The following is a 22,689-nucleotide window of genomic DNA, read 5'->3' as shown; positions in this document are numbered from 1 at the left end:
AGCCCTTCCAAGCTCTGCCCTTAGGGTCCAGCTGAGCAGCCCTCCAGGGTCTGAGATACAGCCCTGGGCCCTGCAGGACACCAGGCTCCTCCCCACAGGGCAGGCATTGGCCGTGGTGTGGCAGGGCATCTCTGGAGATGTCGGGGAAGCCTGGGGGCTGCTGTGCTCAGGGTCAGGAAGTCGAGGCCTGGCTGTGGGGCCAGCACGTCAGCGCCCTGGCTCCCAGCCATCTCCATTCTCAGGGCACCTGCAGCTCCTGGGGGCATCAGGAGGGCCAGTTAGAGGCTCCAAGACGCAGAGCTCCTGCCGTCTCGTCTGTATCATCAACCAGAGGATTTTCAGGCTGTTACTGAAAAATGGTGCTGTGGGAAATGCCAGGCAGATGTGACAGCAGAGAGGGTGCAGCAGAGAGGGTGCAGCAGGGAGGGTGCAGCAGGGAGGCTGCAGCAGAGAGGGTGCGGCAGGGAGGCTGCGGCGGGGAGGGTGCGGCGGGGAGGCTGCGGCGGGGAGGCTGCGGCAGGGAGGGTGCGGCGGGGAGGCTGCGGCGGGGAGGGTGCGGCGGGGAGGCTGCGGCGGGGAGGCTGCGGCAGAGAGGGTGCAGCGGGGAGGCTGCGGCGGGGAGGCTGCGGCGGGGAGGGTGCGGCGGGGAGGCTGCGGCGGGGAGGGTGCGGCGGGGAGGCTGCGGCGGGGAGGCTGCGGCGGGGAGGGTGCGGCGGGGAGGCTGCGGCGGGGAGGGTGCGGCGGGGAGGCTGCGGCGGGGAGGCTGCGGCGGTGAGGCTGCGGCGGGGAGGCTGCGGCGGGGAGGCTGCGGCGGGGAGGGTGCGGCGGGGAGGGTGCGGCGGGGAGGCTGCGGCGGGGAGGGTGCGGCGGGGAGGCTGCGGCGGGGAGGGTGCGGCGGGGAGGCTGCGGCGGGGAGGCAGCAGCAGGGAGCTGCTTTTCTGGGCCATCTTGGCTCCTCCCACCCCCTTTTTGTTAAAGCTGGGATATTTTAAATCATGTCCCGGCCGTGAGTGACGATGTGTAAATGTCTCATGACACGTCTTTAACAGACGCTTTCATACAAACACAGAACCATCATGACGCTCCAGTGATTTTACCTGCAGTTGACAGTTTCGAACTCAGAGACGACAGTGGTGCAGTGACTTATCCGCAGTTGACAGTTTCGAACTCAGAAGACAGCGGTGCAGTGACTTATCCACAGCTGACAGTTTTGAACTCAGAGACGGCAGCGGTGCAGTGACTTATCCGCAGCTGACAGTTTTGAACTCAGAGGCGACAGTGGTGCAGTGACTTATCCGCAGCTGACAGTTTCGAACTCAGAGACAACCGCGGTGCAGTGACTTATCCACAGTTGACAGTTTTGAACTCAGAGACAACAGCAGTGCAGTGACTTATCCGCAGTGGACAGTTTTGAACTCAGGAGACAGCAGTGCAGTGACTTATCTGCAGTGGACAGTTTTGAACTAAACTCAGAGACGACAGCAGTGCAGTGACTTATCCACGGTTGACAGTTTTGAACTCAGAGACAACAGCAGTGCAATGACTTATCCGCAGTGGACAGTTTTGAACTCAGGAGACAGCAGTGCAGTGACTTATCCACAGTGGACAGTTTTGAACTAAACTTAGAGATGACAGCGGTGCAGTGACTTATCCACAGTTGACAGTTTTGAACTCAGGAGACAGCAGTGCAGTGACTTATCCGCAGTGGACAGTTTTGAACTAAACTCAGAGACGACAGCGGTGCAGTGACTTATCCGCAGTTGACAGTTTTGAACTCAGAGGTGACAGTGGTGCAGTGACTTATCCACAGTGGACAGTTTTGAACTCAGAGTTGACAGCAGTGCAGTGACTTATGTGAAGTTGACACTTTCAAACTCAGACACCACAGCAGTGCAGTGTGGTTCCCCCCAGGCCGACTCGACACCTACACTGGGATGTCCCTCCTGTCACCATCCTCTCTCAGTCACATCCCAGTTAGAAGGGGGTCTGTAAGCCCGAGCCATGTCACCTCCTGGATTTGAGGAGGTGGTGCAGGGGTGGGAGCAGGGCCCAGCGTCCCCTGTGCACTCAGGGCTCGTGTAGCGAGGGTGATTCTGGGCTGGCATGGGGAGGGCGATTCTGGGCTGGCGTGGGGAGGGCAATTGTGGGGAGGGCGATTCCCGAGGTTCTGATGGGTGGATGTTCCTCCTTGACCCCGGGACCATCTCCGCTGTGTTTCAGCTGCTTCCAGCTGCCATGGTGATGCCACCCCAGCCCGTGGTCCTGATGCCAACAGTGTACCAGCAGGGCGTTGGCTATGTGCCCATCACAGGTGCGTGTGCTCCCTCCCTGGGTGCCTCTCCCCTGGTAGAAACCCCAGGGCCTAGGGCAGGTGCGGGAGGAGGGAACGGGGCTTAGAGCGCCGGGGTGGGGACGTCATCCATTCTAGAATCCTGTAGACGTGCTGACCGCACACAGATCCTTTCAGGCCAGGAAGCCAAGGCTTACGTTTGAATTTTGTTTGCATATCTAGAAAATAGAATTGTTTTTTTTTTTTTTTTCTAATTGTTGGCAGAAATGAGGTGAGTTGAAATTTTCAGAGATGTGGAAATGTGGCTTTGAAACCCCGTTGTGCCCAGCTCTGTGCAGGAGAACCTCACGCCCCTGTCAGGTGACACGTGCTCTGCACTGTGCCGTCGTGTCCGAACCTCACGCCCATTGGGTGACGCGTGCCCTGCGCTGCGCCGTTGTGTCTGAACCTCACGCTCCTGTTGGGTGATGCGTGCTCTCTACTGCGCTGTTGCGTCTGTTGTCGTGTGTCACTGTTAGGAGTGAGCAGCCTGTGGCTGCAGCAACACCAAGCTGGGATGTCGCTTTTCATGCTGTTGCATTTTCGGTCCAGCTGTGACTGTGGTAGCTGCTGGTGCAAGACCGGCCCCCACCATGGATGGGCCCAGCCGTCTTTAGCAGGCGGGGAGACCGCAGCCCCTGAGAGGAGGTGCTAGGGGGGAGCCTGTGGTCACCCTGGTTCTCCTGCTGAGGTGGCCTCTCTCGTTCTGGGGAGCTGGTGTCCAGGCAGAGCACTGGTCCCTCTGCACGGAGGGTGGAGGCCAGAGGCCCAGGCCATGGAAGTGGCCAAGTTGCGGGCAGGGCGCTAGGGATGCGTGGTGGTGTTGGGGGAGGTGGTGTTAGGGGAGGGTCTCGGGGCTGCATGAGGCCCCGGCTGCTTGTGCTCAGGGGCTGCTTTGGGGTTGGGGCGGGACAGAGCTGCTGGCAGGCGAGAGTGCTGTGAGGCCAGTGCTGGTGTCCAGCCCAGCTGGAGTGGAGAGGCCTGGTCAGCACCCCAGTCCTGCCAGCATCCTGCACAGATGCAGAAAGGCCACCTTGGGAGTCGGGACCTCGCCCTAGACCCACCTGATGTGGCCTGAAACCCAGCCCTGACGATGGGAAGGAGGAGACGGCACTGGGAGACTCTGGGCTGTCCACTGGTGTTCAGGACATTCTCGGACAAAACTGCCTGTGAGAACAGCATGGCCTCGCCCTCACTTGCTCACATTATAGACTCTGTTTCCATGTGAAGCCGCCCGCGCAGGTGCCAGGGCTGCCTTTCTCCAGAGGAAAGAGCAGAGCGTGTGTCTGAGAGGGCCTCTGTGGTGTCCAGTGTCTTAGAAAACCACCAGCCTGGGGGTGGGTGTGGGGGCTCATGCCTCTAATCCCGGCACCTTGGGAGGCCAAGGCGGGCAGATCGTGAGGTCAGGAGATCAAGACCATCCTGGCCAACACGGTGAAACCCCGTCTCTACTAAAAATACAAACAAATTAGCCGGGCGCGGTGGTGGGCGCCTGTAGTCCCAGCTGCTCGGGAGGCTGAGGCAGGAGAATGGTGTGAACCCAGGAGGTGGAGCTTGCAGTGAGCCGAGATTGCGCCACTGCACTCCAGCCTGGGTGACAGAGCAAGACTCCATCTCAAAAAAAAAAAGAAAACCACCAGCCCAGCAGAGGTAGCACCTGCACCCCGTCACCGAGGAAAGAATGCTTCCTAGGAGGTGACCACAGGTGAGCCAGAAACGCAGAAGCAGCCTTGAGGCGTTCAGAGTTAGAGGAGGGTGGGCATCTGGGTAAGTGGAAGAGCCAGCACCTTGGCAGAGAAACGGGGGCGAGCATGGGAGCCCCACAGCTGTTCCTGAGCCTGGAGCCTGGCCAGGGGAGCTCTGCTGCCCTGGGGGCCCTGATGCGCCCTGGCTGCCCCCCAGAGTGGCTCCTGGAGGTTCTGATTTGTAACTGGGACAGCCCAGAGCCGCCGTCGTGGGGTCAAAGTGCCTTCTGTGATGTGCAGTTCATGGGGCTAGTGAAGTTCTGTCTGGTTGTCCTGAGTTGGAGGCCAATGGCCAACCTGAAAGAACAGAGACCCAGGCCCTCCAGCTTCCTGAGGCTGGAAGTCGAAGCCCCGTAGGCAGGGCCACTCACTCGTCAAGGCTGTGAGGAGGATCCTCCCCGTCTCCTCCAACTTCTGGGCCGGGCGCTCTGTGGCTGTCTTTTTGGGGGGTGCAGTTCCATCAACTGGATACAGCGCCAGGGTGTATCTGGCTGAAAGAGCATTCAGATGACAGATAACATTGATTGGCTTACCTCTTTCTGGTTCCTATCCCTAATTCTCTTTGTAGATGCCTTTCAAGTTTGCTCTAAAACGTTTATTTTAGGAAAGGCTAGACAAACTTTGAAATTTTCTTTTGATAGACATTGTAAATTTTGGAACAGCCCCGCACTTCATAGAAAAGTTCCCAAGGAGATGCAGGAACATCTGCCAGAGCCTGTGAGGACTCGTCCACCTGACGCCCCACCGGAGCCCCCAGCCCCCATGCCCAGGCATGCGTTTCCAATAAGCAGGGGCGTCCCTGGCACAGTACGGCCATCTAGATGAAGCTGACACTGACGCGTTGGGGCTGTACCCTGCTTGGAGCCCGTCTGAGTCCGCAGCATCCAGGCCGGGGTCACTGGCCCTCCATGGCCTTGCCTCCCTTGGCCTGGAGGGGTCCCCATCTTGCTCCTAGGGTATGTTCTGGTCAGGGACCTGGTGGGGCTGCTGACGTGGCCTTGCAGGGTAGGGCTGAGTTTCCCCGGGGCTGCTGGCAGGGCCCCCGCATTTTACCCAGGCAGATGCCACCACCGCAGATTCCACCCAGCGCAGGTTTACCCAGTGCAGGGCTAGTGGTGTGACTTGCTCGTCCCTCACGGCGGGCTCTGCCTGGCTGTTCCCCGGGAACTAAAATATGTCCTGTGTGGGAGGCACCCCAGGACCACGTGAAGATCCCGCCCTTGTCAGCCCCTGAGTTTATCCGACTTCCCCAGCAATGTGGATTTACAATTTCCTATTTTATTTATTTATTTATTTATTTTAATTATATTTTAAGTTTTAGGGTACATGTGCACAACGTGCAGGTTTGTTACATATGTATCCATGTGCCATGTTGGTGTGCTGCACCCATTAACTCATTTAGCATTAGGTATATCTCCTAAACAATTTCCTATTTTATTTATTTATTTATTTATTTTAATTATACTTTAAGTTTTAGGGTACATGTGCACAACGTGCAGGTTTGTTACATATGTATCCGTGTGCCATGTTGGTGTGCTGCACCCATTGACTCGTCATTTAACATTAGGTATTTCTCCTAAACAATTTCCTATTTTATTTATTTATTTATCTTAATTATATTTTAAGTTTTAGGGTACATGTGCACAACGTGCAGGTTTGTTACATATGTATCCGTGTGCCATGTTGGTGTGCCGGACCCATTGACTCATCATTTAACATTAGGTATTTCTCCTAAACAATTTCCTATTTTATTTATTTATTTATTTTAATTATACTTTAAGTTTTAGGGTACATGTGCGCAATGTGCAGGTTTGTTACATATGTATCCGTGTGCCATGTTGGTGTGCTGCACCCATTGACTCGTCATTTAACATTAGGTATTTCTCCTAAACAATTTCCTATTTTTTTCCTTGGGTCAGAATCCCTTATGAATGTTATTTTTTCACTCAAATTATTCCAGATTTGGCCAGAGGGAGCCCCCTCAGGCGGGATCTTTGTTCTTTGGCCTCCTCTGATCCTTCTCTGGGCCCCTCCCTGCTTCCTGGCACTGCAGGAAGCCCCAGGCTCTCTGCATTTCCGGCCTTAGCCCTGGCGTTAGCTGTTTCTCCCAGGAGCCCTGGTTCCCATTAGGAGAACACTGCTTTTAGGAGCCTTTGAAGTATTTTTTAATTATCCTAGCAGTACTGTAGAGTGTGAATAAGGCACCCTTCTTCACTGGAAGCTGATGCCCTAATTTTCTTCTGAGTACCTGTGATCACAGCCCATCCTCCCGGCAGCCACTGCCAGCTGAAGGGCGAAGTCTGCGGAGACCTTGGAGAGGCTGGCGGCTGCGTGCTCAGGGCGTCTCGGGCCGACTAGGCAAGCATGGTGGAGTCACACCAGGGTTTTCTTCTCAGAAGTGGAATCTCAAAGTGCATCTTGGCCAGAGCATGTGTGTCGCCCACAGTTTCAAGTGTTTATGACTCACATGGTGGAGAAGCCTGTGCCGCGTGCTCTGCCTGGCTACGCGGTGCTGGCTGCGTGGCTTCGGGCCTGTGTGCACGCAGGGCGGCCTGGCCAAGCCCTCTGGTGAGACGGGGCTGCCGGAGTGGGCCAGGAAAGGAGAGCCCGGCTTCTTAGGGCCCTGCTTCTCGCCAGCCCCTTCAGCCGCTCGTTCATTCAGCTGTCGCCTGCTGATCGCTGCCCAGAGACCCCCGCACAGGGTGCAGGTCTCGGGGGCTCACTGTGCACATTAGGTGGGCTCAGGCCCCGAGAGCCTCCCGTGGTGTCTGAGCCCAGCTGCCACCTCTATGGAGAGTGCAAGCTGGAGACTGAGGGCTGAATGCTGGCTGAGCCCTCACGAGGACCGTCCACTTTCCTCAGTGAAAAACCAGAGTCCCCCACAAAGCAACTCAGAAGCCGGGGCGCTGAGGTCAGACCATCTCCTTCACAAAAATAAAGTGTGACCGCATCAGTGAGGAAGGGAGGCTGGAACACGAAGCACAGCTTGATTATTAAAGCTTTTACGCCATGATCATGGCCCGAAGAGAACAGTTTTAAGTTTTGATTTTTTTAAACAAAGTATTATTTTGATTACCAAATTAGATACTTTACAGATTTCAAATAATTCGTGGTAGGCATCATGTGGTTATAGGGGGTTTTTTAGCCTCAATTTTAAGGAAACATCTAGGCGTGAAGCATCTGGAGACCGCGTGGCCTCATGAAGCATGTTCTCTTCCACGGAGCTGCAGAGTGGACAGAGACTCTCCGCCAGGCTGGCAACAGCAGCCAACTGCTCAATTTCCCGTGCGTTCTTCGTGCGTGAGAGACCAGCGCGGGTGCCACTGGGCCTCAGCCCTGCCTGCACTGTCCCTTCAGCTGTCCCTGGCACAGAGGGGCACTCGGGCTGCAGCCACTGCCAGGGGTCTGCCCTGAGGGTCCCCACGAGACTGACAGGCGCTGAGGTGGAAGGTGGTGCCGGCCGCGCTGTCCTCTGGGGCCCTCCTCACTTTCCCTCCTCCTGTTGCTTTCCACCTCCTTCTGCTTGGTGGTGGGAGGAGAATCGGCCTGGAAAGTGGGGCGTCCGGCGCCTCCCCAGCCTGGCCCGCATAGGCAGCACCAGGGTGTGCATGAGCTCATTCTGTGCTCACCGTGGCTGCAGCTGCCCGTTGACGCTGTTTCCATCTGTTCCCTCGTGCACCTCCATTTCACACGGGCCTGGAGTGCTTCTCTCTTTTCTCTGCTGCCCCCACGTCCTCACCGGCGCAGTCCCTCCCGTCATCCTGGCCTGCGTCTCTGTGGGCACAACCCCCACTGGTTTCTGTGGAGCCAACCAGACCAGGACATGAATGCCCGTCCACAAAGTATGAAAGCAAAACACGCAGGTGGACGCCGCTGCTGGGATGGACAAGGGGGAGGCCCATAGAGAACGTGCACGCGGTGGCACCATGCACGGGAGCAGCCGGCGTTCGCAGCGCCTGTGAGTTCCAGAGAGGGCCAGCCAAGGGCTCACCCAGCGGCCCAGGCATGCTTCCCCTCGCACGTGGAATTCCAGCGAATAGGGAGTTTGCAGCTGAGCAGCACATGCCATTTAAAATACGAAATGGTTCCATTCAAAATGAGAATTGGATGCTTAAAAGTTTCCGAGACAAACTATCACATGGAACTCTCTGCTGTTGTGTTTATTAACCCGCTAACTTGGTCGCTTTGAAACAAAGAATCACGTAGGTTTTCTTCTTTGTGATAACGCTCTGTGGAGTGAGAAGCAGCAACAAGCCTTGGGAGTTCCGGAACAGTCTCTGAGCTGGACGGTCGTCCCCACCTGCTCTTTGGATGTCTTTCCACTGTGGTGCGAGACGTCTGGAGCCCAGGGCCACATGCCTTCAGCCTGAGCAGGGCTGATGCTCCCCTGCCCACCGGCGGCCGGGACTTACCATGCTGCGTGGTCTGAGATCAGGGCCTTCTCGGAGCAATTTTTCCTGAATGGAAAAGGGACAAGTTTTGGTTTTCCTGGGTATCCTTGTGTTTGTCAGTAGAGAATTTGATTTTGCCAAGATATGACAGCAGATTCACACGGCGTGAAGAACGTGAGGTGGGGCCTGTCCTGTGCTGCACATCCGTCCGCGTGCGTGCAGGTGGCTGGTGGGGCTGAGCGCGGCAGATGGCAGGGACACAGCAAAGCCGCCCATCACTCCTCCCAGGGCCGCTACAGGTGGGCTCTGGGCTGCCCCGGGCTCCCATGGCGTCCTCTCTGCCCACATTTTGGGGACTTTGCTCTCCGCCAGGCCCCAGAGCTCCTGGTCTGTCCTCCTGAAGTCCCCAGGCAGCCTTGACACATACGCTCACCGTTCCCGGAGGGCTTGATGGACACATCCGTGCTTGGTAACCAGGATGGGCCGGCTCAGGCCAGGCACATGGCCTCTGCCCTGCAGGAAGGAGGGGAGTGAGCCAGGCCACTGCCCCTCAGCCCACACCGTGGAAGCACCCACCTCTTCCCCCGGGGGTGCCTGCTCCCCAAGTGAGTGTGTTGGGGCCGTGCTGTTGGGATTCACTTGAGGGCCAGTCGGCGCCACATCCCCTCATTGTCAGCAGAGCAGGTTTCTCGGGACACCCCAGGCCGTGACGTCGCAGCGTCACAGCCACCGTCATCGATTTTGCAGCAGTTCCCCTCCTCCTGTCCCTTCCCCATCAGACTGGTAAAGGCTGGAGAGAGTGGGAGCACGGTGCCTCCGTTCCTCATGTTGCCACGCTGTGGGGAGACGTGTGGGCAGGGACAGGCGATGGCCGAGCCCCATTCCTCTTGTTGCCATGCTGTGGGGAGCTGTATGGGCAGGGACAGGTGATGGCCAAGTTCCTGCCCGCCTGCCAGCCGGGGCGCCCAAAAAGCCACGGGGATCCCAGGGGTCCCTCCAGGACAGACAGCGCCCAAGCCTTTGTCTTGTTTGAGGAAGAAGAAAGGGTGGTGAGGGTGGCCACGTCCCCACCTGGCCATGGTTCGGTTCGTTTTCCGTCATTGCCGAAAGGCTGATGAGCATGGGGATGATGCTTCCCCAGTGAGGTGAGGTGTCCAGTGGCCAGGACAAGAGGCAGGTGTGGGTGTGGAGGAAAGGTGGGCCTGGCCCTGAGAGAGCCGAGAAGCAGAGGAGGCAGGGGTGGGTGTGGAGGAAGAGTCGGCCTGGCCTAGAAGGAGCCGGGAAGCGGTGGCCTTCCTTGCTGAGGAGTCCTGGCCTTTGCAGCAGGTGCAGGAGGCTTGGTGGCAAGCCCTGTCTGCTCCGTTTACACCCCTGCAGGTCTTGTTGCTGGTGTTGGTTCAGGCCAGGATTGAAGTGGCTTCTGCTGCCTTTAGGATCCTCCAAGTGTAGAAAGGAACAAAAGTCCTATCCTAAGATTGGGGCTCTAGCGCTCCAGTGATCCTAGCTGGGAGATGGTTCGTGCTTTTAAAGGTGAATGAACGGGTGAGCAGTGAACCCTTGCACTGCTGCAGCTGCTGCTGCAGGAGGAGCTCTGTGCCTCGCTGGTCGCCGAGCCCCGCGCACGCTGCCTGTGCTCTGTGCCTCACTGGTCGCTGAGCCCCGCGCACGCTGCCTGTGCTCAGGGCTGCTCGTGGTTTTAGGGAGCGGCCACCAGGCTGGGAGGCGAGTCTTAAGTCCGGCCACACGGTGCCTTCAGGGGTGTGTGTGCTGCAGTGGCTGAACCGCCGTGCGTCTCCTGCTCGATAGATTGCATCTCAGTGTGTCCTCCCGCATCAGACATGGGGCGAGGGGCCTGCGTAGCTGTGGGGTGGAGATGCCAGGAACCCTGGACGGTGGCCCCAGTGCACTGAGGGTCCACTGTACACCGCACCTGCTGCCCCACTTGTTTGAGTTTTGTGAGCATTTTCTTGGTGTAGTTTGTATGTGTGTGTGGGGTTGTCATTCTGGGCATCGGCTGCAGCTTTGCTGAGGTCTTCAGTGCCTGTGGTGATTGTTCCCCACCGGCACACAGTTTAGTGACACACTTGCCAAGCTGCAAAAGCATCTTCTAGAATGCCTGATAAAGGAAGAGGCTCAGACCGTGCAGTGTTTGGATCAGCGGGCGTGACATTCCGTGTAGTCCGTCCCCAGATGCAGAGGACTCTGTGAGCCCACTGGTCAGTGAAGACGAGCGTGTGCAGTGCAAATTCACGAGTTCTGAAGGGATCAAAACACCACCCCCAGCCTGCTAGTTATAAAACAGACTCGGGTGAGATTTGAAAGATCAAACTTTGATTTTTATATGGAAGGAAGATGAGTTAGTGAAGGAGGCGTCACAGAGGGCCCTGCCCACCTTCCCCGTGGCTGTGCCTGGGGTTGCTGTTTGGGGGTTTGCCTTTCCAGGGTGTCTTGCGGGACTGGTGTTTGCTGAGACCCGAGGTGGCCCCTTCCTCAGGGAGGCCGGTGGGATGCGTTGTTTTCTTCCTTCAGCAGGAGCTAGTGTGGCACTTCTGGAACTTTCCGACGTTTTTACCAAACTTGATCTTTGCTTCCAGGGATGCCCGCTGTCTGTAGCCCCGGCATGGTGCCCGTGGCCCTGCCCCCGGCCGCCGTGAACGCCCAGCCCCGCTGTAGCGAGGAGGACCTGAAAGCCATCCAGGACATGTTCCCCAACATGGACCAGGAGGTGATCCGCTCCGTGCTGGAAGCCCAGCGAGGGAACAAGGATGCCGCCATCAACTCCCTGCTGCAGATGGGGGAGGAGCCATAGAGCCTCTGCCTCGATGCCGTTTTGCCCCCGCTCTTTGGACACGCCGACCCGGCGCTCCCCAAGGAATGCTGTCCCAACAAGATTCCCGTGAAAGAGCACCCGTGTCGCCCCCTCCCGTGGACTTCTGTGCCGCCCCGTCCACACCTGTTCTTGGGTGCATGTGGGTTTTCGGTTCCTGGCGGTCCAGGACGGGGCGGGGGCTCCCCTCCCATCTCGTGCTGGGAGGTCTCAGCGCGCTCTCCTGTCCCTGGGACGTGCGTCTCTCCTTCTCATGCCGTTCTGGAAAATGCTCTTGCTGTAGAGAGCAGCTGCTTCTGCCAGGGTGTTGGAGGTGGTGGAGCGCCTTCCGATTCCATTCATGGCATTTTGTGATGTGATGTAATTGGAATAGAGCTGTTGATTTAAGGCACACACAATCCCTCACACTGTGGGTTTTTTTTAGAACTTCCCAGACGAAAACTCACGCCCTTGCCCTAACGCGCTTTGCTGTGAGCCTGGCCCCTGCCCAGGGCTTGGGTCTGGTGAGCTGAGCAGCTTCCTGTGGATGGTGTGGGGCCGGCCTCTGGCCTGGCTCACCTGGCCACTGTCCAGCCAGCCTTGTGACAGACTCCGGCCTGAAGGCAGAATGAACCCACACCTGGAGTGAGGAAGGGGGCCTGGCACGGTTGGCCAGGCTCTGCCTGATTGCCAGCCAGCGGGCATCTGAAGCCGGGTCCTTCGCCCGCCGGAGGCTGCCGTCCGTCTCTCCTGCTGCGCTCGTGCCAGCTCCGTGGGTGTCCTCCCAGGGAGCTTCTCTTCTCAACAGGCCTTGCGAGGCTGGGGTGAGAGGTGATAGAGGCAGCACTGTGCATGATTCCGAGAGGGTGTGGTGGCACTGCCAGCCGACTGCTGACAGCTTGGGAGCTGCTGTGCCCAGGACGTGGGTTCAGCGTGGGCGAGGAAAGCCTGGCGAGCGTGGCCCTGTAAAAGCTTTCTGAGGCGGGAGGCGCTCACTTACCTCTGACTGCCTGGGCGCTGCGTGTAGCATCTTGGCCTACAGGACAGATTTTAGGTGACACCTGGTTATGACAGTCAGAAATTTGAGAAGCTTCTCACAAGTGATGCACTTTAAATAATCTGCATGCCATTGAGACACCTGCATGTCTGGTGTTTGTGGTTCAAGTGTCTTGCCGCCGGCCTTCGGATGTAAACCCACTGATAACGGACAGAAAGAGAATGCCCACAAGTGGGTCTTCTGTGGAAGATGCAGAAGGAGGAAGTTAGTGCTTACATTTTAGTCTTTTTCTCCCTCAAAAAAATAGGTTAAGTTTCAGTGCCAGCTAGAAAATACTGCTTTCTGCCATCGATTGGGGGTGGTTTTTGTCAAATATACTGTTGATAAATATTTATTTTTGTAAACTTGAAGTGTGTGGTGGCCGTGGGGGAGGGACATGCTGGCAGCAGGCGCCTTCTTCAGCTGTGGGTCCTAAAGGCCTTTGATCCTTTGAAGAAGAAAGACATGGTATTTGTTCAGCAGACGCCGACCACTCAGACGGAGGGGCCCCTGGGATTCCCTGTCTCAGATGGCCTGGTCTTACGCCTGTGTAGATTTCTTCTCCATTGGGAATGAAGGTGTCAGGCGGGACTGGAACGTTCTAGATGGTATGTTCCGTGATATTAACAACTCTAACCCAGGACAGACCACAAGCCACACTCAGAGGCCTCACTGTGCTGGGGGCTTCGGTGTCCAGGCGCCCAGGTGTGGCCACCAGCACCGGTTTCTGCCTTCGCGTTGCTGGGGTGCAGTGAGACTGCCACACGCGTGCACATGTGGCTCTGTGGGTGTCTCCTAGAGAGGACGTGGCCCCTGCTGCCAGCCCTTGAGCAGCCCGTGTGGGGGCCCGAGGGACCCACACAGTGGGGGCCAGCCTCGCTGGAGGGAGAGCAACCCTTTGCCGATGACCACGCTTGCCGCCATCTCTTAGTTTTCTTTTTCACAAGCGCTTTATTTTTTTAATAGACAAATCACATTTTGCAAGGCCTTTAATTAAATAAGATTCTTCTTTCCTTCATTTTATGCTTTATTTCCTGTTTGAAGGCTTACTGTAGAAGTGGCTTACTGTAGAAGCAGCTTGCTGAGCCCCTCCGAGCGGTCCCCAGAATTAGCTGGTTCACAACCCCCACCCTCCCCCGCCCCCGCCTGTGTCAGGTGTGGATGAGGTCGTCACACTCAGAAGGACAGGCTTGTCTGCCAGCTCACAAGGGGAGGCTGCAGTGGGTTTGGGAGCTGGGTTTAGGCCCCTGGTGTCTGAGGGCCCAGGCCTTGCCAGCCTCTGCTGCTCCTGCTCCTGGGTTTGAAGATGCAGGCCGATCGCCAGCTCCGTGGCAGCGGTCACTAAGGACAGCCTGACTGTGCCATCTTGGAGCCTCAGGCGGGGCTCCGGAGATAGAAGACAGGTCGCCGGAGGCTCCCCCTCCTCTCCTCTCCCCTCTGCAGATGCTCCCTGGGCGCTACCCTGCAGGGTGCCAGGCAGGAGTGGTCTCAGAACGTGCGCTTCTGATTATTTTACTGGGGTCCATTGTCCAGATTTTTCTTTGATTGTAAAATATATTTTTACTTTTTAGTCTTCTAATTTAATAAATGATCCATATAAAAATAGAGAAATAAAGTCCTTTAAGGGAAGGTTTACCATGTTTGTTCCCGAGTATTTTTTAACTTAATTCACAATACGCAGGAGTAACGAATCAGTCAGAATCAGAGTTCACTCGTCAACAGACTGGGAGCAGGAACCTTACACCTTCAGACCAAGCCTGGCCTTTGCTTCCCAGATTGAATTAGAGGAGGGAAGTCCCAGGTGCTCCTCCCTCAACAGTGGCAGTGGGCGTGGGTCTGCTCTTCCAGCCCAGGCACCCTCTCCCCACTGGGTGGTTCTGTGGTGCCTTTTCATTTCCAGGCCATTTCCATCTGGGAGTGAGCGTGGAACACGACCCCGTTCTGAGAGAGCCCACTGGGACCGTGGCACCCCCATCTCAGGAGTCTGAGCCCCTAGTGATGACTGGCTCATGCTTAGGGAGCAAAGCGCCCATAAATGTGAGCAGCACTCTAGAGACCCCGAGCCACCCTGGCACCCGGGCACGGACGCGTTGCTGGAGCGTCCATGGACACGGTGGGGTGTCTGCCCCCTCTCTGCTGCCCAACCCCCGAGGCATGCCCGCCGGTTCCCTGCCTCCACCTGAATGTGGCCTTTCTGCAGTGTTGACTCCACAGCAAACTTCCAGCCGTTACCTCTGTGGCTATGACTGATGGCATCAGTTCTTCTGTGGAAAAGACCCCTGGGCGTGGGACTCCTGAGCAAAGATGGACCCGCCTCCCCTGCCCAAATCCCAACCTGCTTCCTGGTGCCCTGTCCCCATCGCCGGGCGTCCCCATCGCCGGGCGTCCCCATCGCCGGTCTGGCCTCTCTGTCCCAGTGCTGTCTTGGTGCAGCTGCAGTTAGGATCTCTTTATTTTTTATTTTTTGTATTTTTATTTTTTAATTTTATTTATTTATTTATTTTTTTGTTGAGACAGGGTCTCACTCTGTCACCCAGGCTGGAGTGCAGTGGCGCGATCTTGGCTCACTGCAAGCTCCGCCTCCCGGGTTCACGCCATTCTCCTGCCTCAGCCTCCCGAGTAGCTGGGACTACAGGCGCCCGCCACCACGCCCGGCTGATTTTTTTGTATTTTTAGTAGAGACGGGGTTTCACCGTGTTAGCCAGGATGGTCTCGATCTCCTGACCTCATGATCCACCTGCCTCGGCCTCCCAAAGTGCTGGGATTCCAGGTGTGAGCCACCGCGCCCAGTCAGGATTTCTTTTTTTAGGAGCGAGTTTGAGCACAGCCTTGCATTCCGGGCCCGTGTTTCCCGTGGGGCTGCCTTTTTCTTTTGTCTCCTCGGCTCTTTTCACGTTATAGACGGTAACTGCGCGATATACACTGCACGTTCTTTCCCTGCTTTATCATTTGTTTATGTTGCTAATGATTTTGTCCCGTGTAAAATTTTCTTTTTTAATGTTGTCACGTGTTCATCTTTTTCCTTATCGTTCCTGGATTTCTGTTTATCATTAGGAAAGTTTTTCCACATTCAGGTTTGAAAGGCTCTTCTCTCACGTATTTTCCTTTTTTTTTTTTTTTTTTTTTTTGCCCTTCATCACGGACCCCACTGGAGGCACCAGGCCCGCTGCGCAGGATGGACCGACCCTCACTGTGCGGCGCGTTCGCAGCCCCCGGATCCCTGGGCCCGGCCTGGCCTTCCCGGCACCCCCTCCTCCTGCATTCCCGCAGGCCTGGCCCGCGCCCGGCTTCTCCTTCTAGAGGCTTCCTGGCTGTTCGTGTTGGGACTTACCAAGGAACTTCTTCCGGATAGGCTTGTTCAGAGCTCATTTAATGAACTCGGGGAAAGTAGCTTCCCACGCGCGCATCCATCGTGCGGACCCCCCGGGGGCCGCTGCGCTGAGGGGTGAGGGGGTCGCTGGCCGCCTGCGGGTCCCTGAACTCCGGGGGTTTCCAGCCTTCTCGAGGTTTCCATGGTTACCTGGCTCCGAAAGAGACGACTTCTCTTTCCCTCCACCCTGCCGCAGCATCCCAGGCCCTCGCTGGGGGATGAGATTGGGGAGGGGCGGGGGGGTGTGCAGGGCGGGGGCGGGGGGGGTTCTAGGGCCCTCCTCGCCTCCCCACCCAGACACGGGAAGCGCCCACCCTGGGGTGCTGCAGGCCGGGGCGCCGCGGGTGCCGGTGAGAGGAGCAGGGCCGGTCCTGGGGACCCGCTTCGGGGGTGGGAAGGGGCTGCGAGGCGGGGTCCTGCTCCCTCCCAGCGGAAGGCGGCCTGGGACCCAGTCAGACCGCGGTGCATCCCAAACCTCCCAGCGACCCTTGGTTGGAGAAACGGGCAGAGACCCTGCAGGGGGTGGCCCGGGCCCTGCGTGTCCTCTGGGGCCTTTGCCGCGGCCCCTCCGGCGCCCCGCACCCCACTGGAAGTGCTCTGTGTGGGTGGGAGGCTCAGCCCTGCGCGGTGGCCCCAGGAAGTGCTGAAATGAACGAGGTCCCCTGGTCCCCGTCCCCGGGGCCTCCGAGACTAAAGGGACCCGCAGCACCAGCAGGGTGCCCCAGGCTGGGGGGGGTCCCAAACGCGGCTCCCAGATCCCTCCTTCCCAGCTGGAGTGGAGAAGAGCCCTCTCAGCCTGGTTCCTGCCGCTGAGCAAAGGGCGGACACTTTTCTTGGATTTTAGTTTTGAAAACAGTGTTCAAAGCGTCTCTTTGAACTGTAGATTTCTGCAGAGCAACGGTTTTGGGAGCAAAACCTTGATACCAAGTTTTACTCAAAACAGAAAGTGCCAGGTAGGGAACAGAAAAGGAAGGCCTGCCGGTGCGTGGCTTTTCCCAGAGCTTGGCAAAGGCCTTGTTACCTTAAATTTCTAGCCTCAAAAATAAAATGCTGGTGCCACACTCCCCGACACAGAGCCGGCCTCACTGCTGAGTGTGAGAGTCAGGCTTGAAACATCTGCCTTCCCTTGAACGTGCTGGTGGGCATCGCTGTGCAAAGCATGACACCTGACCCCGTAGGAAACCCCTTCTTACTCATTTGCAGTGTCACTGAAAGAAACTTATCTCCTGTGCCTGTTAACTGTCAGGTATCACTAAAGTTAAAGCAATAAAGCTCACTTAAGATAAAATGGAAAAGTGAGAAACAGCGAAAATGTCAGTGCAGACGTCACAAACTCAGCATGAGTTTCCTCGAGGCATGACACGGGTTTGTGATTATGACCGGCAGGCTGAGCTGTGCCCAGCGTGAGGCGTTTGCCCCAGTGCAGGCAGGAGGGGCTGCAGTGGGCTCCGCCTCTCGGAGGACCCGAGGCTCCCCCAGGGCCCTCCCCACGGCCCCTGCTCGCTTTGTGGAGTGGGTGAGACTTGGCCTTCTCTGCTGACTCACCATACACCACTCCAGGCCCTGCTGCCCCAGGCCGGCTCCCTCTGCCTCCTCAGTGCCTGTTCTGGGCCCCAGAAGAGGCTGGAAGGGTCCTGAAGACCTCGATGGCCTCCATTCAGCTAGGGAGCAGATTCGGGGGAAATGAGGAGGGAGGTCCCCAGGGTCACCCAGAACCGAGGGAAAGTTGTGGCCAGAGAGCTGCTCGCTTCCCACAAACACCACAATCACCCCTTGCAGGATAAAGTTTCGCACAAGTTGCTGAGTGCAGAGAACCTGGGCCAGAAGGCCAGGTCCTGAGTTCTGGAACAGGTGAGGACCCACCCAGGCTGCCCCATCCCTCCACCCTCAGTGAATGGCGACAGCCTCTGGGCTTTCTACTGCCTCTTGGCTCCCAACCCAGACCAAGCCCCTTCCCTCTGTTGAGCCTGGCCGTGGAGACGGGTTCACCCCGACGGCTGCGTCCAGGCGTCAGCAGGGCTGGAGGAGCCCTGACAGAATGCACTTGGCCCACCAGGCCGGGCATGTAGCGATGGGTCAGGGTCCTTTCTGGTGGGCCAGGGACTCCCAAGGCCCAGGACCAGGGTTCCAGAGGGAAGGACAGCAGGGCCCCAGCTGGATCCTGCATCCAGGGCTGGGGCATGGGAAGAGAAAAGTTTCAGGAGCTGAGACTCAGCCCTTGGCCCCAGAGTCTCAGAGGGCAGGGCCAAGGGCCAGGTAAGGACCCACAGAGGCAGGATGGTCTTCAGCACAGACACCTCATCATTAAGCTCTTCCTCATGATGCTGTAGACATGTTCTCCTTGACTATGGAGAGGAAATGGAGCCAGGGGGATGCAGCTGGTACCAGCTGAGAGAGAGAGCTCAGAGAGAGTGTGTGTGGGCACAGGCTCCAGGGATGCAGCTGGTCCCAGCCGAGAGAGTGAGCTCGGAGTGTGTCCAGTCACAGGCTCCAGGGATGCAGCTGGTCCCACCCAAGAGAGTGAGCTCAGAGAAAGTGTGTCCAGTCACAGGCTCCACGGGGAGGGGGAGCAGGACTGAACCTTCCTCTGCCCGCAGAGCCTCAGTCCTCTCAGTGGGGACCACAGGACCTGGGCACATCAACCAGTGCTGGCAGAGTCCCGAGGCCTCTCCCAGGAGAGCTTTGGCCAGAGGTCATTAGAAGCCAAGGGGTGTCTCTGTGTTGCAGACACTCACTGGAGCAGGTGCACAGCCCCAAGGGGTGGGTTTACAGCAGCTCAGGCGGCCCCCTCACAGGAGCCTCCAGAGCCCCTTGATGTGGCCACAGCACAGCTGGCCCCTTACAGGGTGTGCGTGGGCAGAACTGATAGGTACTGCTATACCTCTGAGGCCTGTATCCTCTCTTGAAAGGGGACACCTCATCCCAGAAATCCAGCAAGGTGGATTTATTGAGACCATCTCACTGAAAACAGCCCAAAATGATGGATATCATGTTTTTAAATTCTTCCTGGAGTTTTTGAAAAGATGACAAAGGAAAGGCGAACCCAGAGAGGCTATTGCAGCAAAGTTAAGCTTCAGTCCAGGTGGTCTTGTGGGGATGGAGGGTGGAGATGTACAATGTTCATGGATTGAAATAGTCAATATGTAAAGATGTCAGCTTCTCTCAAATTAATTTAGTCAGTATAATCCCAAAGTCCCAGCAAGCCCCGTTTTGTTGTACTGTTTTTTGTAAAGCTTGATAAGTTAATTCTGAATAGCTAGGAAGAGTCAAGACATTCTTGTAAAAGCAGCACAAAATGTGAAAGCTTGCTCAAATAGATATCAAGGCCAGGTGGCTCACACCTGTAATCCCAGCACTTTGGGAGGCTGAGGCAGGAGGATCACTTGATTTCAGGAGTTTGAGACCAGCCTAACATGGCAAAACCGCACCTCTACTAAAAATGCAAAATTAGCTGGGTGTGGTGGCAGGCACCTGTAATCTCAGTTACTCAGGAGGCTGAGGCAGGAGAATCGCTAGAACCCGGGAGGTGGAGATTGCAGTGAGCCGAGATCGCAGCATTGCACTCCATCCAGCCTGGGCAACAGAGCAAGACTCTGTCTCAAAAAAAAAAAAAAAAAAAAAAAAAAAAAAAAAAAAAGGGCTGGGCACGGTGGCTCATGCCTGTAATCCCAGCACTTTGGGAGGCCGAGGTGGGTGGATCAAGAGGTCAGGAGTTTGAGACCAGCTTGGCCAACATAGTGAAACCCCGTCTCTACTAAAAATACAAAAAATTAGCTGGGCATGGTGGCGGGTGCCTGTAATCCCAGCTGCTTGGGAGGCTGAGGCAGGAGAATCGCTTGAAGCCAGGAGGCGGAGGTTGCAGCAAGCCAAGATCGTGCCATTGCACTCCGGCCAGGGTGACAGTGCGAAACTCCATCTCAACAAAAAAAAAGATATCAGGACTATCAACACTGTTGTCTACAGACTGTTGTCTACAGTAAGACAATAAATAGTCCAGGGAACAACACAGAGACTGTAGAGATGACAGGGTGGGGAACAGTTGCCATTTTAGTACATGATATTGGGCCAAGCAGCAAGATCTGTGAAATAAAATGGAGTCAGACCCCCTACTTCATGCCACTTTCATACACCAGTTCTGGGTGGATTCAAAATGTAAAGGCAGAAGGCAAAATTGCAGAGCTTTTAGGAAATAATTCAGAAGACAGCATTCCTGATCCCAGGGCAGAGAAGGGTTTTCTTAAATAAGACCAACAGGCACTAACCACGAAGGATTGAGTCGCTAAAGTTAGCAACTTCTGTATTGTGACCTGTGGATTTCTGTTAGGTGCGTTTCTTATTCGGATATAACAGGGCATGTAGGCCGGGCACGGTGGCTCACACCTGTAATCCAGCACTTTGGGAGGTCGAGGTGGGCGGATCACCTGAGGTCAGGAGTTCGAGACCAGCCTGGCCAACATGATGAAACCCCGTCTCTACTAAAAATACGAAAACTAGCTGGGTTTGGTGGTACATGCCTGTCATCCCAGCTACTCGGGAGACTGAGGCCAGAGAGTCACTTGAACCTGGGAGGCGGAGGTCGCAGTGAGCCGAGATCATGCCACTGCACTCCAGCCTATGCAACACAGTGAGACTCCATATCAAAAAAACAAAAAACAAAACAAAAAAACCAGGGCATGTCACCCATTTCTTTGCTCACCATTATGGCATGCGTGTGACTGCACTTGGCCGCTGGCCACCTCTGTTAGTAGCTCATTCACAGAGGATCTGTGGGAAGTGACCTTCTCAGTCCCTGTATGTCAGAAATGTCCTTGTCACTCTTAAATGACAGTCTGGTTGGAATAGAATAGAATTCTGTGTTGATTTACCTTCCCTCAGCGCTTTGAAAAATACCATGGCACCATCTTGCTGCATCCAGTGTTACTAATGAGAAACCAGATACCTGTCTGGTTCTCATGCCTTTGTGGGTGAACTGCCTTGTCTTTCTGGTGGCTTTGAGGTTTTCTCTTTCTCTTGGGTGTATTTTTGCTTGGCCTGTCTTGGCACTCATTGAAAGCTTTGAGCCTAACAAAGACGTCATGTTTTCGGTTCTGAAAATATGGCCTCTCTTCCATTCTCTCTATTCTTTCCTTTTGTGGCTCACTAGAAAAAGCGTTGAGATTTCCAGATCTGTCCTCCAAATCCTCTATTAAACCTGATAGCTTGAGCACATTGCCTTTGTCTTTCTCTACTGATGGAGCGTTTGCTCTCCTTCAGGATGTTAGCATCTCTGAGCTGCTTGGTGGTTTCAGGCTGAATGCCCATTTTCTATAAAGAAAAGTGATGTCAGGCTCTGTGTCCCCACCCAAATCTCACCTTGAATTGTGTCTCCCAGAATTCCCATGTGTTGTAGGAGGGACCCAGGCAGAGGTAATTGAATCATGGGGGCCAGTCTTTCCCGCACTATTCTCATGATAGTGACTAAGTCTCACAAGATCTGATGGGTTTATCAGGGGTTTCCACTTTCGGTTCTTCCTCATTTTTCTCTTGCTGCCACCATGTAAGAAGTGCATTTTGCCTCCTGCCATGATTCTGAGGCCTCCCCAGCCATGTGGAACTGTAAGTCCAATTAAACCTTTCTTTCTTCCCAGTCTTGGGTATGTCTTTATCAGCAGTGTGAAAATGAACTAATACAGAAGTTGGTACCAAGAGTGGGGCATTGCTGAAAAGATACCTGAAAATGTGGAAGGAATTTTGAAACTGGGTAACAGGCAGAGATTGGAACAGGTTGGAGAGCTCAGAAGAAGATAGGAAAACATGGGAAAGTTTGGAACCTCCTAGAGACTTGTTGAATGGCTTTGACAAAAATGCTGATAGTGATATGAACAATAAGGTCCAGGCTGAGGTGGTCTCAGATGAAGATGAGGAACTTATTGGGAACTGGAGCAAAGGTGACACTTGTTATGTTTTAGCAAAGACACTGGTGGCATTTTTGCCTCTGCCCTAGAGATTTGTGGAACTTTGAACATCAGAGAGATGATTTAGGGTATCTGGCAGAAGAAATTTTTAAGCAGCAAAGCATTAAAAAGGTGACTTGGATACTGTTAAACATTCCATTTTAAAAGGGAAATAGGCCGGGCACAGTGGCTCACACCTGTAATCCCAGCACTTTGGGAGGCTGAGGTGGGTGGATCACCTGAGGCTGAGTTCGAGACCAGCCTGGCCAACATGAAGAAACCCCGTGTCTACTAAAAATGCAAAAATTAGTTGGGCATAATGGCTCATGCCTGTGATCCCAACTAGGGAGGCTGAGGCAGGAGAATCACTTGAACCCGGGAGGTGGAGGTTGCAGTGAGCCAAGATTGCGCCACTGCACTCCAGCCTGGGTGACAGAGCAAGACTCCGTCTCAAAAAGATTTTTTGTTGTTGTTAAAGAGGAAAACAGAGCGTAAAAGTTCAGAAAATTTGCAGCCCAATGATGCAGTAGAAAAGAAAAACCCATTTTTTGAGGAGAAATTTAAGCTGACTGCAGAAATTTCCTTAAGTAGCAAGGAGCCTAATGTTAATCCCCAAGACCATGGGGAAAATATCTCCAGGCCATGTCAGAGACCTTCACGGCACCCCCTCCCATCAGAAACCTGGAGGCCCAGGAGGAAAAAATTGTTTTGTGGGCTGAGCCCAGGATCCCTGTTCTGTGTGCAACCTAGGGACTTGGTGCCCTGCATCCCAGCCTCTCCAACTGTGGCTGAAAGGGGCCCAACGTGGAGTTCAGGCTGTGGCTTCAGAGGGTAGAAGCTCCAAGCCTTAGCAACTTCCATGTGGTGTTGAGTCTGTGGGTGCACAGAAGTCAAGAACTGAGGTTTTGGAACCTCCGCCTCAATTTCAGAACATTTACGGAAACACCTGAATGTCCAGGCAGAAGCTTGCTGCAGGGGCGGGGCCCTCATGGACAACCTCTGCTAGGGCAGTGCAGAAAGGAAATGTGGGGTTGGAGCCCCCACACAGAGTCCCTACTGGGCCACCGCCTAGTGGAGCT

General features: G+C 55.5%; 1 protein-coding gene across 9 annotated transcripts in view; it reads left to right on the top strand.

Annotated features, from left to right (window-relative positions):
- The window catches only part of TOLLIP (toll interacting protein), a 35,262-nt gene extending 21,320 nt beyond the window's left edge, over positions 1–13,942 (top strand). For 6 of the 9 annotated variants that reach the window (NM_001318512.2, NM_001318516.2, NM_019009.4 and 3 more), the window contains 2 exons: positions 2,221–2,311; positions 11,060–13,942. In NM_001318512.2, coding sequence (NP_001305441.1) covers positions 2,221–2,311; positions 11,060–11,274 — 306 coding nt within the window. In that variant the 3' untranslated portion in view covers positions 11,275–13,942. Of the gene's footprint in view, positions 1–2,220; positions 2,312–4,715; positions 5,356–11,059 lie in introns of those variants that run through there. The other 3 variants (XM_047427135.1, XM_047427136.1, NM_001318515.2) reach the window with 3 other exon arrangements.
- The last annotated feature ends 8,747 nt before the right edge of the window (positions 13,943–22,689 follow it).

Source organism: Homo sapiens, chromosome 11 (assembly GCF_000001405.40).
Source record: "Homo sapiens chromosome 11, GRCh38.p14 Primary Assembly".
Lineage (NCBI taxonomy): Eukaryota > Metazoa > Chordata > Mammalia > Primates > Hominidae > Homo > Homo sapiens.
This window is presented reverse-complemented; position numbering and strand designations above follow the sequence as displayed.